We start from the raw sequence: 15,398 nt of genomic DNA, 5'->3' as shown, positions 1-15,398 counted from the left end.
CCAGAGAAGACCTCAGCAGATGGCACCAGTAGAGGACACTTCTCCACACTATTGGACAGTGACAGCCATCTATGGGAGGGGCTGTGGGTGGCCTGAGCACAGGCCGAGAGCTGAGAAGGCTCCCTTCCATTCATTGAGTTCATTGTGCCACACACTGTGGTAGCAGCTGAAGGTACAGTGGCTACCATGACAGATAAGATCCCTTTTCTCAGAAACTGAGAGTAGGGGAGAAAGACAGTAAGAAAACCGACCAGATCAGGCATTTCACACCAGGAGTAGAGGGGGATTTCCCAGGAAAGTAAAGGAGGGAAACAGAGTAGAAAGAACATGTTTTATGAAGACCTCAAGGTGGAAAGATCTTAAATTCAAGAAACCAAGAAGGCTGTGAGATGGAGCAAATAGGATGACAAAGAGGGTGATGTGTGCTGAAAGCTTGAGAAGGGATATGTAAGTTCTTGTAGGTATAGGGAGAGCTGACTCCAAGAGAAATGCAGGAATCCAGGAAGAATTTTAAGTGGCATGATCCAATTCTCATTTTAGAAATACTACCCTGGAGGAAGAAGAAGAGAATGAACAGCAAGAGGAACATTATCTTTCAATAAGCTATGTGTATTATTGGATGGAGATGTGTGTGTGTGTGTGTGTGTGTGTGTGTGTGTGTGTGTGTGTGTATCTATCTGTCTATATGTATGTGTATGTATATTTAAAATGTGTTGGCCACCAGTGTGCCGGGTACTGCTCTGAGAACTGTTCACAGAGACTCAAATTTAATCCTCAGAATCACATCAAGGTGGTGATCATTATAAGCTTTGTTTTACAGGTGACTAAATGTAAGCTCAAAGAGGTTAAGTACTTCACCCAGGGTCACACAGCTCTTAGATAGTAGAGCCAGGATGTGAGCCTCAGCTGCCTGACCCCTGAGCTGCCCCCACATCACTCCAGGACTCTAGTGGAAATTCTGGCCTGGAGCAGAGTCTCTGGGAAGGTGGCTTCCCTCCCTCTCCATTAACATCAGCTGGTTTGAGTTCTTTGTGGGGCATCAGTCAGCACCCCAAAGCTCCAAACAGGAATGGGGAACACCCATTCACAGAGATCTGTGTGGAGTTTCATGCAAGGCAGATGTGTCCTTGTGTGTTTGCACTGGGGCTGAAACAGAGCATTTAAATGCAGGCCAAATGCAAAGGGTGACCTGCCAGAAACACTCCGGCAGTTCTAAGGCTGGTGGGGCAAGAGGGCAGTCTCCTGAAAGGGTCCCTCTGGGAGCCTGGACTGTAGGCTACAGACAACTTTGGAGTTCAGAGTTTTCATGAAGGGCCTGCTACAAAGAGAGCTCTCCCCACCACTGCATCTGCATTTCTGATGTGAAAGCTTTGATTCTGAGTCTTCTGAGCTGTGCTGCCAGGTCGCCGGGGACATTCTGCACTGAAAGCAACTTGTGCTTGGCTCCATCATGCCAAACGCAGCTCTCCCTGAGGAGTTCAGGGGTTTTCATCACACAGATGACGTTTCCTGAGCATCTGCTGTTGCCAGGCAGAGTGCGAGAATGCTGTGGTGAGCCAAGCAGACATGATTCTGCCCACATTAATCACAGAATCACACGAAAGATGTCACCATGGGGGTCAAATGCTGTGATGAAAAGACAGCCAATGCTTTGGCTGTCTTATATAACTTTAGGCCAAAAGCACTTAATAGACATTTACAGAGATTCTACCCAACAACTACAGAATATACATTCTTTTCACCAGCACATGGAACATTCTGTAATATCACCAGCACATGGAACACCTGTAATATCATTGGTAGGTGTGGGAACTGATATTGAAAAACTAATGCTGGAGCTGAGATCCATGCATCTGTAGGAGTTAACCTGGCAAGGAGGGAGGAGAGACACTAGTGTGTACAAACACCTGCCCCCCACCAGAGGGGATGGGGCATTTTAGGAAGGTTAAGGCCAGTGGAGTTGGAACCAGAGGTCAAGGGAAAGTCTGATAAAAGATGAACCAAAGACAGGAGGCAGGGCTCTAACAGTTAATTTCCTGTCTCAACTGGGTAGGCTGTGGTGCTCGGTTGTTTGGTCACATACTTGGTCTAGATGTTGCTGTGAAGGTATTTTGTAAATGCAATTAATATCTACAGTCAGTTGACTTTTTAAACAATATATTTAGGAGGTACAAGTACAGGTTTCTTACATGCATATATTGTGTTGTGGTAAAGTCTGGGCTTTTAGTGTACCCATCACCCAAATACTGAACATTGTGCCCAATAGGTAGTTTTTCAGCCCTCAGCACCCTCCTACCTTTTGTAGTCTCCAGTGTCCATTATTCTACTCGGTATGTCCATGTGTACCCATTGTCATGCTCCCACTCATAAGCAAGAACATATAGTATTTGACTTTCTGTTTCTGAGTCATTTCACTGAGGATAATGGCCTCCAGTTCCATCCACATTGCTGCAAAAGACAGGATTTCATTCTTATTTATGGCTGAGTAGTATTCAATGTATATAGATATTCCACATTTTCTTTTTTTTTTTTAATTTTTTTTTATTTTAAGTTCCAGGATAGATGTGTGAATGTACAGGTTTGTTATGTAGGTATACATGTGCCATGGTGGTTTGCTGCACCTATCAACCCATCATCTAGGTTTTAAGCCCTAGATGCATTAGGTATTTGTCCTAATGCTCTCCCTTCCCTTGCATCCCAACCCTTGACAGGCCATGGTGTGTGTTGTTCCCCTCCTTGTGTCCATGAATATACACCACATTTTCTTTATCCAATCCTCTGTTGATGGACATTGAGGTTGATTCCGTATCTTTGCTATCGTGAATAGTGCTGTGATAGACATACAAGTGCAGGTGTCTTTTGGATGTAATTATTTATTTCTCTTTGGGTGTTTACCCAGTAGTGGTGTTGCTGGATCAAATGGTAGTTCTATTTTTAGTTCTTTGAGAAATCACCATACTGTTTTCCGTAAAGGTTGTACCAATTTACATTCCCACCAGTAGCATATGAGCATTCCTTTTTCTCCACATTCTCACCAAAAATCTGTTGTTTTTAGACTTTTTAATAATGGTCATTCTGCTGATATGATATGGTATCTCACTGTGGTTCTGATTGGCATTTTTCTGATGATTAGTGATGGTGAGCATTTTTCATATGTTTGACCAATTGTATGTCTGTTTTTGAGAAATGTTTATTCATATCCTTTGCCCGCTTTTTAATGGTTTTTTTTTTCTTGTCAAGTTCCTTATAGTTTCTGGATATCAAACCTTTGTTTAGGCATAGTTTAAAAGTATTTTTCCCATCCTGCAGGTTGTCTGTTTACTGTTGTTTCTTTTGCTGTGCAGAAGCTTTTTAGTTTAAGTCCCATTTTTATAATTTTGTTTTTACTACATTTGCTTTTGAGGACTTAGTCATAAATCCTTTGCCTAGGCCAATGTCCAAAAGAGTTTTTCCTAGGTTTTCTTCTAGGATTTTTATATTTGCATGTTTTACATTTGGGCCTTTAATTCATTGTGAGTTAATTTTTGTATATGGTGAAAAGTATGAGTCCAGTTTCATTCTTCATCATATGGCTATCCAATTTTCCCAGCACCATTTATTGAATAGGGTGTCATTTCCCCAGTGTATATTTTTGGCTTTGGTGAAGATCAGTTAGTTGTAGGAATGTGGCTTTATTTTTGGGTTCTCTGTTCTGTACCATTGATTTATGTGTCTATTTTTATACCAGTACTGTGCTGTTTTGGTTACTATGGCCTTGTAATATAATTTGAAGTCAGGTAATATGATGCCTCCAGCTTTGTTCTTTTTGCTCAGGATTGCTGTGGCTATTTGGGCTCTTTGAATTATGAATATGAATTTTAGGATTTTTTTTCTAATTCTGTGAAAAATGTACCAAATGACATTGGTCATTTGGTAGGGATTGCAATGAATCTGTAGATTGCTTTGGGCAGTATGGTCATTTTAACAACGTTAGTTCTTCAAATCCATGAGCATGGGATGTTTTTCCATTTGTTTGTGTTGTCTACAATTTCTTCCATCAGTGTTTTGTAGTTCTCCTGATAGACATCTTTCACCTCCTTGGTGAAATATATTCCTAGGGTTTTGTTTTTGTTTTTGTTTTTGTCCTTGTCTTAGCTATTGTAAGTGGGATTGCCTTCTTGATTTGGTCCTTGACTAGATAGTTATTGGTGTTTAGGAATGCTACTAATTTCTAAACATTAATTTTGTAGCCTGAAACTTTACTGAATTCATTTATTAAGTCTAACAGTTTTTTGGTCAAGTATTTAGTGTTTATTTTCTAGATATAAGATCATATCATCAGCAGAAATATTTGACTTCCTCTTTTCCAATTTGGATGCCTTTTGTTTCTCTTTGCTGATTGCTCTGGTGAGGACTTCCAATACTACACTGAATAAGAGTGGTCAAAGTGGGTATTCTTGTCTTGTTCCAATTCTTAGAGGGAATCCTTTCAACTTTTCTCCATTAAGGATGATGTTGGCTGTGGGTTTGTTGTATATAGCCTTTATTATTTGAGGTATGTTCCTTGTATGCCTAGTTTGCTAAATTTTATCATGAAGGGATGCTGAATTTTCTCAAATGCTTTTTCTGCATCTGTTAAGATGATCATATGGTTTTTGTCCTTATTTCTGTTTATGTGATGCACATTTATTGATTTGCGTATATTGAAGCATCCTTTCATTCCTGGAATAAATCACAACCTGATCATGGTCTATTATCTTTTTGATGTGCTCTTGGATTCAATTTGCTAGTATTTTTTTTGAGAATTTTTATGTCTATTGTCCATTCAGGATGTTAGCCTGTAGTTTTCTTTTTTCATTGTGTCCTTGTCTGGTTTTAGTATTAGGGTGATACTGACCTCATAGAATGAGTAAGGGAGAATTACTTCCTTCTCAGTTTTTTAAAATAGTTTCAGGAGGATTAATACTAGTTTTTTGTGTGCTTGTTAGAATTCAGCTATGAATTCATCTTTGGATTTATGGTCCTGGGCTTTTTGGTGGCAGTTTAGGGGGGGATATTTTGTATTACTGATTCAGTCTCTCTACTTATTAGGGGTCTACTGTTCAGAAGTTCTACTTATTCCTGGTTCAATTTCAGGAGGTTGCATGCTTCCGGGAATTTATCCATTTGCTCTAGATTTTCTAGTTTGTGATTGTATAGTTGTTCATAATAGTCTGATGATCTTTTGTATTTCTGAAATATCATTTGTAATGTCTCCTTTTTCAGTTCTGATTGTATTTATTTGGATCTTCCCTCTTCTTTTCTTGGTTAGTTTAGCTAGTGATTTATCAATTTTGTTTATCTTTTTGAAGAACCAACTTTTTCTTTTGTTAATCTTCTGTATTATCCTTTTGGTCCCCATTTCATTTAGTTCTGCTCTGATTTTTGTTATTTCTTTTCTGTTTTGTTGTTCATACTAGAATCCTTAGTCTCAGCATGATCTTTGTTATTTCTCTTCTTCTGCTAACTTTGGGGTTGTTTTGTTCTTCTTTTTCTAGTTTCTTGGGGTATGATGTTAGGTTGTTAATTTGTGATCTTTCTACCTTTGTGAGGTAGGTATTCAATGCTATTAACTTCCCTCTTAGCACTGCTTTTGCTGTATCCCATAGGTTTGGGTATGTTGTTTTTTCATTTTCATTCATTTGGATTTTTTTTTAATTTTAATTTTAATTTCTTTGTTGACCCAGTGGTTGTTCAAGAGCACGCTGTTTAATTTCCATGTATTTGGATAGTTTCAAAAGTTTGTCTTGGTATTGATTTCTAGCCTTAAATTACCGTGATCTGAGAAAATACTTGATATAATTTCAGGTTTTTTAATGTGTTAAGACTTGTTTTGTGGGCTAACTTGTGGTCTATCTTGGAGAATGTTCCATGTGCTGGTGAAAACAATGTATATTCTGTCATTGTTGGGTAGAATTTCTGTAAATGTCTATTAAGTCCATTTGGCCTAAAGTCCAATTTAAGTCCAGTGTTTCTTTGTTAATTTTCTGTCTCAATGATCTGTCTAGTGCTGTCAGTAGGGTGTTACCAAGACCCTACTATTATTGTATTGTCGTCTGTTTCTTTCATTAGGTCCAGTATTATTTGTTTGTGTTATTTGAGTTCTCCAATGTTGGTTGTGTATGTATTTAGGATTATTACATCCTCTTGCTGAATTGTTCCCTTTGTCATTATCTAGTGACCTTTTTTGTCTTTTTTTTTTACTGTTTTATGTGATATGTCTTTTTTATCTGATATAAGTGTAGCTACTCCTGCTCACTTTTGGTTTCTGTTTGTATGGAATATCTTTTTCAACCCCTTTACTTTCAGTCTATTTGCGTCTTTATGGGAAGGATAAGTTTCTTGTAGGCAGGATATAGTTGGATCATGTTTCTTTATCCATTCTGACAATCTGTATCTTTAAGATGGAGCATTTAATCCATTTATATTCAGGGTTAGTATTGATATGTGAGGCTTTGTTCCTGTCATATTGTTGATTGTTTTCAAGTTGTTTTATAAATTCCTTGTTTCTTTCTTTTTCTGTCTTTGTGGTTTGGTGAAATTCTGTGGTGTTGCCATTTGATTCCTTTCTCTTCTTCCTTTGTATAATTGTTTTATATGAACTGTGAGTTTTATATTTTCATGATTTTTTGTGATAGTGAATATCGACCTTTCATTTTCACATTTAAGACCTCATTGAACATTTCCTATAGGGTTGCTCTAGTGGTGGCAAATTCCCTTAGTATTTGCTTGTCAGGGAAGGACTTTATCCTTAATTTATAAAATTTATTTTGGCAGAATACAAAATTCTGGGCTGACAGTTTTTTTTTTTCTTTCAGCACTTTGAAAATGCCATCACATTTCTCTTCTAACCTGTAAGGTTTCTGTGAAAAGTCTTCTGTTAGTCTGAGGGGTTTCCTTTGTATATGACTCCATGCTTTTCTCTTGCTAATTTTAAAATCCTTTATTTCACTTTTATATTAAACATTCTGAATATAATATGCTATAGAGATATCCTTTTTGCAATGTATTTGCCTGAAGATTTCTGGGCCTCCTGTAAATGGATGTCTAACTCTCTTGACAGACTTGGGAAATTTTCATCAATTACTTTCTCAAATATGTTTTCTAAACTTTTTGATCTCTTTTCCCCCTTGGTAATATCAACAATTCATAAGTTTGGTCACTTTATGTACTCTCACATATCTCAAAGCCTTTGTTCATTCTTTTTATTCTTTTTTCCTTATTTTTGTCTGACTGGATTATTTTAAAAGACCTGTCTTCAAGTTCTGAGATTCTTTCTTCTGCTTGTTCTAGTCTATTATTGAAATTTTCTAATGTATTTTGTATTTCCTTCAATTAATTTTTTAGTTTCAGAATTTCTCAGTTGGCTTTTTTTTTTGTTTCTTTGGTTTTTTTTTGAGACAGAGTCTAACTCTGTCACTCAAGCTGAAGTGCAGTGGTGTGATCACAGCTCACTGCAGCCTTGACCTTCCAGGCTCATGCAATCCTCCCACCTCTGCCTCCCTAGTAGCTGGGACCACAGGCACATGCTACCTTCCCCAGCTGACTTTTTATTTTTTGTAAATACAGGGTCTCACTATGTTGCGCAGGCTGGTCTCAAATTCCTGGGCTCAAGCAGTCCTCCCACTGGCCTCCCAGACTGCTAGAATTACAGGCCTGAGCCACTGCACCTGGGCTTTGGCTTTTTTATTTTTTTTAAGATGTCTGTGTCCTTGGAAATTTCTTATTTATAGCCTACATTGATTTTTTAATTTATTTGTGTTGGTTTTCAGATTTCTCTTGCATCTCATTGAGCTTCTTTAAGAATAACATTTTCAATTCTTTACCTGGCATTTCAAGGAATTCTTTTTGATTGGGATCTGTTGCTGGACAATTGTGGTCCTTTGGTAGCATCATATTTCCCTGCTGTTTCATGTTTCCTGTGTCATTACTTGGATTTCTGAACATCTGGTGTAGCAGTCACTTGTTCTAATTGTTTGAAATTGCTTTTGTAGGGGAGAATTTTCTCTGAGGATATATATATATATATATATATATGTTGTTGATTAAGATACTTTGGGTTTGATTTTGAGTGCCTGTGGTAGTGTGATCTTTGTATGAATTCCTCGGCAGGGCATAGGATCAGTGGTCTCTATAATCACATCCTCAGTGACTTAGGGTACCATTATTAGTTGAGGTGGTGGTGAAGTTTAGCTGGAGATTTACATGCAAACTGAGCCAGTCTTTGGGCCCCAGTACTGGCAGCATAGAATGAGCAGCATAGAAGGTGGGAAGCCACTGTCAATCTCAGGTCATACCCCTTCCTAGCAACTCCCTCGGATCTCCCTGGAGAAGAGATCCTCCCTGGACCAGCGCTTCTCTGCCTGTCCTGCTCATTCCTCCAGCTCCTGCCTCCAAGCTCCCCATAGCCACACTGTCCACAGAACACTTCCTGCAGGTGTGTGAATTATGGCCCAACAGTTTGTCCTCCCCTTCTTCAGCCTGCACAGAGCAGAGCCTCCCTGCCCAAAGGAATAAGCTGGATACATACCCCCTCCCAGTGTCTGCTCCTTCCCACCACCGGCTGAGCCCCTGCCCCTGTTTGGGGAGTAGGGCAAGCATTCACTCAGAATGCAAATACCCCACAGCCTTTCATGCAGGGAGGGCAGAGGGTGAGTACAGATGAGAGGCCTGAGGAAGCTCTGCAACACCAGCCTCTGCCCTTGTCTGCAGTCATGGCCTCTCATTGTGCTTTGAATAAAATAATCTCCAAGGCCTCAGCGTGATCTACCCTGTCTCCCACTGTCCTCTCCAGGCCCATGAGACTTCAGCCCCTCAGCCTGCCTTCTCTGCCTTGGAACTCAAGCTCTGGACTGTCCACAGGCTGCATTCTTGCCAGACTCTTCCACCTCCCCTGCTCTTTCCAAGTCTTCACCCTTTTCACCTACCAATCCTCATCTGAAAATATGTCCTCCTCAGCTGTGCATCTTCCTTTTTTTTCTTTTTCTTTTTTTTTGAGACGGAGTCTCACTGTGTTGCCCAGGCTAGAGTGCAGTGGCACCATCTCAGCTCACTGCAACCTTGGCCTTCTGGGTTCAAATGATTCTCCTGCCTCAGCCTCCCTAGTAGCTGGGACTACAGGCATGCACCACCACACCTAGTTAATTTTTGTATTTTTAGTAGAGACAGGGATTTGCCATGTTGGCCAGGCTGCTCTCAAACTCCTGGCCTCAAGTGATCCACTTGCCTCAGCCTTCCAAAGTGCTGGGATTACAAGAGTGAGCCACCGTGCCCAGCCAGCATATTTCTTTTTTTTTTTTTTTTTGAGACACAGTCTTGCTTTGTCGCCCAGGCTGGAGTGTAGTAGTGCAATCTTGGCTCACTGCAACCTCTGCCTCCTGGGTTTAAGCGAGTCTCCTGCCTCAGCCGCCTGAGTAGCTGGGATTACAGGCATGTGCCTCCACATCCAGCTGTATTTTTTGTATTTTTGTTTTTATTTTTGTTTTGTTTTGTTTTGTTTGTATTTTTAGGAGGGGGGTTTCACCATGTTGGCCAGGCTGGTCTCAAACTCCTGACCTCAAATGATCCACATGCCTCGGCTTCCCAAAGTATTGGGATTACAGGCATGAGCCACCACACCTGGCTCTTCAACTGCATCTTTCTGCAGTAAGCCCCTTGGTGTTTCCTTGCTCCTTCCCAAGAAAGCACAGATTGCAATTCATAATTTATATTTCTTTATACATCTGCCTGCTTGCTCTCCTGTATGCACTGTCTCTCTCCCTGCCTCCCTCCCTCCCCTCCCTCCCTCCCTCCCTGCCTCCCTCTCCCTCCCTGCCTCCCTCTCCCTCCCTCCCTTCCTCCCTCCCTCTCCCTCCCTCCCTCTCCCTCCCTCCCTGCCTCCCTCTTCCTCCCTGCCTCCCTCTGCCTCCCTGCCTCCCTCTGCCTCCCTGCCTCCCTCTCCCTCCCTGCCTCCCTCTCCCTCCCTGCCTCCCTCTCCACCTATATTTGATTTTTAATTGCCTGAAAGCAGGAATTATGGCTCTTATTCACCAGTATATACGATACTTGGTACATCATAATCGTTCAATAAATACTTGGGCTTGAATGAATGCATGCATGAATGAATGCATTTCTCTTGGCTTTTCTGTCTGAGGGCACAATCTAAGCATGTGCATGACTGAATTTTAGGCTCCCTGAGACAGAAATGGAATCTGGTTCATCTTTGTATTTCTCCCAGGATCTAGCATAGCTCTTGGCCCATAATGTGTACACAATCGAGGATCAAAGCAAAAGGACATCAGTCCAATATGCCATGGCCACCTAAGACCTTATTAGGTCCAGTCCAGCACCCTGTGCCATGAGAGTCCCCAGGGGCCAGCCATAGGAGGAAAGTTACTTGGTCTTAATTAAACAATTAAAGATAATGCACGTTCCAATGTGGCCTTAAAGCTAAGGCTGGTTCAGTCATTGACACCTTGACCCATATTCTGTTTTAACCCATTTCTATCCCATTTAGTCATTTTGTGGTAGGTCTACTGGACACCAGGTAGTGTGCTAGCACCTTATTACTCAAAATGTGGTCTGCAGACCAGCAGTCACCACCATCACCCAGGAGCTCATTAGAAATGCAGATTCTCCAACCTTACCCCAGACCTAGGGTCAGAATCTGTGGTCTAGCAAAATCCAGGTGATTTGCATGTATGTTGAAGTTTGAGAAGCACCAGGCTAGCAAGAGATAGACCTAGGTCTAGCCTCATGGAGCTTAAGGCAGACACTTGACAAATGGACAGCAGTGGCTATGTGTTGACTCTTATAGGAGAGGATGCTATGGGAGCTTTAGATCACCAAGGAGATCAAAGCAGTTCTTGTAAGCCATCTTAAATGTTCTTCAGCTTTGTCCTGAGAGCAACAGAAAGCCTGGAGAAAGGGGTTTACAGCAAGGGTGGCATGTCCCCACTTGAGGATAGCATTAACTTTTATTTATAGGTAGGAATAACCTTTGTAATTCATGATTACATAATTACAATGAGACGTTCTTATCTTAAGCCACACTTGAGTCTCTAAGGAGGCGGCCTCATCCTAGGTGAGCAGGTCAGTGTAGGATGCTGAAGTCCAGGCAGATCTTAGCTCAGCCTTTGCATGTCCAGAAGGAGTCCCCATCTGTTGGGTGCAACCTCACTCTGAACCCCTGTCCCCTCCTGCCATGTAGTCCTTCTGCTGGGAACTGTAGTACAGTGCTCCAACAACAGAGATAGCCCCCCATTTCCTCAGTTTCCAAATGTACATCAGAGATAGTCAACATTGAATTAGGGTTCTTAATCATGCCTGGCTCAGTTCTCCCAACAGCTTCCGGAAGCTAAGTGTGGAATTGTGGTAAGACTACAGTCAGAGCTGGGTTCAAGTCCTAGCTCAACCACTTGCTTGCTGCATGACCTTGGGCAAGTGTTTTAACATCTCTGAACTTTTCTTCAACTGTGACTTCCTGCTACATAAGGATATTTTGAGGGCTGAGTATAAAATGAGTGCTTTATTTATTAAACAAATATTTATTGAATACCTACTATGTATCAGCTCTGTAAACAGCCACGGGGGGATCCAACGGTGGGCAATTTTAGACAAGAATCCTGCCAACATGAAATGTATAAGTCCAGTGGAGAAAAAAATGTCATTCATTGGATAATCAAATAAATATTAAATGACAAATATAGTAATGCTTTGAAGTTGGGGAGGGAGGCTCTAAGAGTAAAAGAGGGACCTAATCCAGCCTGGAAAGTCAGGGAGGCTTCTCTGAAAAGGTGAGAATTTGTACAGTGTCTCTTTCTCAGGTGTTGTCTCTCCACACCTCTTTCAGGTACCTGGAAGGAAACCACCTAACAGCCGTGCCCAGAGAGCTGTCCGCCCTCCGACACCTGACGCTTATGTAAGGAGCCCAGTATTGGGTGGGATGTTTATTTTTCCCTGCTGGGGTCGCTCAGGAAACTGAAGTGGATGGTAAGAGAGAACAGAGCTGCAGGCTGATGCAAGTGGTAATTGAAAGATGCCTGTCTGCTTAGGACCAGAAGCCAGTCTGCAAAGGGAAAGTGGGAGATCTTGCAGAATGAAAGAGCATTACCCTTGGGAAAGTAGGAGACCTTCTCTGAAAAGCTGAAAGAACACCATCTCTCTGTGGGATGGATTCCTATAAACTCCTGAAACCAGCCTCTAGATAAGGATTTCTCAACTTCGGAACTATGGACATTGGGGTTAATTATTCGTTGTTGGGAGGCTGTCATAGACATTATAGGATGTTTAACAACATCTGTGGCCTCTACCCACTAGATGCCAGTAATACTTACCCCAGTATTGACAACCAGAAATGTCTTCAGACCTTGCCAAATGTCACTGAGGGAGCACAAGTGCCCCCAGTTAAGAATCACTGCTCTAAAGCAATGGTCCTCACCATCAGCTGATTAGAGGAATCACCTGAGCAGATTTTTTTCAAGCTACTGATGCTCAAGCCCATGCTAGACCAATTAAATCAGAATACCTGGGCATGGAACTCAGGCATCAGAGGATTTAAAAGCTCCCCAGGTGATTCTAATGTGCAGCTAACATTGCCACAGCTCTGGATGTTTATCCCCGCAGGGAAGCTCGAGGTTGCAGCTGGCAGAGGACTGCACCCCCACCAACCTCAGTCCTCCTAAGACAGAACCTGATAAGACGGAGTAAATGAATGCCAGAAAAGAAGGGGGATAGAGGAACAGTGAAAAGAATTAATCAGGGGAAAAAAGTACTAAAACAAGGAGAGATTGTTATTATATGTATCATATTTTGTTGGTACAGTGAAATGGATGAATAGTCATGTAACTGAATGATTGACTAGCTGCATAAGTGAATAGATGGATAAATGAATGACAGTTGCTTGAATGATTGAATAAGTGTTTGAATTGAAAATGACCATTTGGATGAATGAGTGGGTGGATGAGTGAGTAGATAAGTGGGTGGATGGATGGTGGGAGGGAGGAAGGGAGGGTGGGATGGATGGATGGGCAGGCAGGCAGGTGACTGCCTGGGATAAATATGATAAATATGTGAGGGGTAGATGGGTAAGTGGGTGGGTGGGTAGATGTATGGATGGACGGATGGATGGGAAAGCGGATGGGTGAGCAGGAGAGTAGATAAACAGGCCAGCAGCGGGATGGATAGATGAGTGAGTGAATTAATGAATAGGTGGGTGGATGGGTGGATGGGTAGATGAGTGGGTGGATGGCAGGTATGTGTGATACTTGGGAATGGCCTCCTACAGATGCAACTAAGACAAAAGCATGACCCCTCTGTTTTACTTTTCCTAGTGACCTGAGCAACAACAGCATCAGCATGCTGACCAATTACACCTTCAGTAACATGTCTCACCTCTCCACTCTGTGAGTACACTGAGATGCTGTGTTTACCATGCCCTTGGGCCTAGCAGTAGATGGTTACTCTTTCCCTCCCTCCCAGCAGGACTAGTTTCTCTGCCCTAATGACCCTCAGGCCTATGGCTGCCCTAGCATAAGATACACCTTAATCATCAGAAGGAAGATAAAGTAGGAAGCCCTCCACTGTCCAGGCAGTTAGAGAGGAACTAGAACCTCGTCGCTTCTGAAGAAGGCTGTCTTAGGAATACCTTTTGTGGTTTGTGAATTTTCTTTCCCGGAAATGGTTTTCCTACACAATTATATTTTGCTCACACCCATTTATTTCCCATTAGCTTTACACATTGTGAGTACTCATCATTGGACAGGAGAGAGAGGTGACGAACAAGCTGGTTAGAAAGCCAGCCTGCCACAGAACTTGAGTAAACTGAGGAAATAAAGCCAGTGCGCTTCCTGGATTGGTGAAGAGGTTTCTTGTCCCTTTAGGGGATGTTCTGTCAATATATCAACATTGAAAAGATAAACCATTTGCTTTGTTTCACAACGTGAACAGTGCACCTATGCATGGTAGAGAATAGAAAGACACAACAGGGCACATGCCTCCTTTTCCACAGGATCCTGAGCTACAACCGGCTGAGGTGCATCCCCGTCCACGCCTTCAACGGGCTGCGGTCCCTGCGAGTGCTGTGAGTACCCCAATGTGCTGATTTTGACTTACACATTGCTGAGTGACAGCAGGAAGCAGACTAAGCACTCCCCTTCCCCACTCTCTGCCCAAAGCCCACTCCACCCCCAAACACACCTTCCTACCCAGCACCCTTATTTGCTCAGTGGAGTAGAGAGAGCTACCTTTGAGAGTCTGCCATTCCCAGGGTCCAGCGCACTACCACTGTGGAACCTTGAGCAAATCACTGAGCCCCTTCAACTTTCTGCTTCTTTATGTGTAAAATGGGATCAATAGCACCTCCTTTGTGAGGATTAGGATATGCAATTGTATTCTACCCTCTAGTATTGAGCATAGTGTGTGGTCATAGCCACGTTTCGATGATCATTCTGTTGACAGTTGTTTCCTCAGAGGGGCAATGCAGCATGGTGAACCTCTGCATGGAAACAGCTCCTACCCCAGAGATCACAAGCTGGAAACCCAGGGCCCCCGTCCAGCTCACAGACAGCTATTAGTTAGCAATTGTGGGGTTGGCTCATAGAGTGTCTTTTTAAGAACACAAAGCTTAATAAGCTGTCAACATTTAAATATCAGATTTCTTCCACAAATCCCACTCTCTATATTCTTTTGGAAAATTGAGAGACCTGGCCGTACCAGGGCCCTACCCCTGCATTCCTGCATGGCTGAGCAGCCCTGCCCCTTTAAACAGAGTTGTGCAGGCTGCAGCCTCCACAGCCGGCCCACTCTCCTCGCCTGCCTGGCCCTGTCCTACACATGGGTAGCTGAGTGTCTTCTCATCCATAAAATCAGATAATTATGGTAATTGCCTCACAGGGTCTTATGAGGATTAAATGAGATACTGTATATGAAGTACTTAGTGCAGCTCTGGCACTGTAAATGCTTAACAAATATTCACTTGTTATTATTCTTATATCACAGCTTGCTAGGGCAGGAAGGCACCCCACCACCACCCCCAATCCTGGGCCTGATTAACACCTGATTTTTGTGCCTTCCCATCTTGCTTCTATTTTATTAGCACATTCCTTTGAATTCCTTTGGTCCTTTGAATATCACCCTTGAATGCTATTCATGAAAACAGAGATGCCAGATACTCCGCCCCCAAACCTATCAACTTCCTGACTTTCTAGATCATTATTACTATAATAGTGATCAACATATTTTATGGGACAGTTTTCTTCGTCTAACCTTTTGCAACACTGCTGTGAGACCAAGACAGTTCTGCCCATTTTAAACATGGAGAAACTGAGGCCCAGACTGGTGAAGTAACTGGCCAAGGTCTAGCAGTCAGTAGGTTGCAGAATCCAGCCTCCTGGGACCCGGGA

At 42.3% G+C, this 15,398-nt stretch overlaps 1 protein-coding gene across 3 annotated transcripts in view, besides 1 other annotated feature; it reads left to right on the top strand.

The window, feature by feature from the left end:
* SLIT3 (slit guidance ligand 3) overlaps window positions 1–15,398 on the top strand; it is a 639,400-nt gene that overhangs the window by 564,807 nt on the left and 59,195 nt on the right. For all 3 annotated transcript variants that reach the window (NM_003062.4, NM_001271946.2, XM_017009779.1), the window contains exons 21-23: window positions 11,849–11,917; window positions 13,329–13,400; window positions 14,006–14,077. In NM_003062.4, the coding sequence (NP_003053.2) occupies window positions 11,849–11,917; window positions 13,329–13,400; window positions 14,006–14,077 (213 nt within the window). The remainder of the gene's footprint in view (window positions 1–11,848; window positions 11,918–13,328; window positions 13,401–14,005; window positions 14,078–15,398) is intronic.
* Window positions 14,788–15,332: an enhancer, noted in NCBI's record as "H3K4me1 hESC enhancer chr5:168148006-168148550 (GRCh37/hg19 assembly coordinates)". NCBI's record gives its function as "activates a minimal SCP1, AML or CMV promoter by ChIP-STARR-seq in primed H9 embryonic stem cells {active_cell/tissue: H9 hESC(primed)}" and the evidence as "EXISTENCE:reporter gene assay evidence [ECO:0000049][PMID:30033119]".

Source organism: Homo sapiens, chromosome 5 (genome assembly GCF_000001405.40).
Source record: "Homo sapiens chromosome 5, GRCh38.p14 Primary Assembly".
Lineage (NCBI taxonomy): Eukaryota > Metazoa > Chordata > Mammalia > Primates > Hominidae > Homo > Homo sapiens.
The sequence above is the reverse complement of the archived record's forward strand: the minus strand, read 5'-3'. Positions and strand labels throughout refer to the sequence as shown.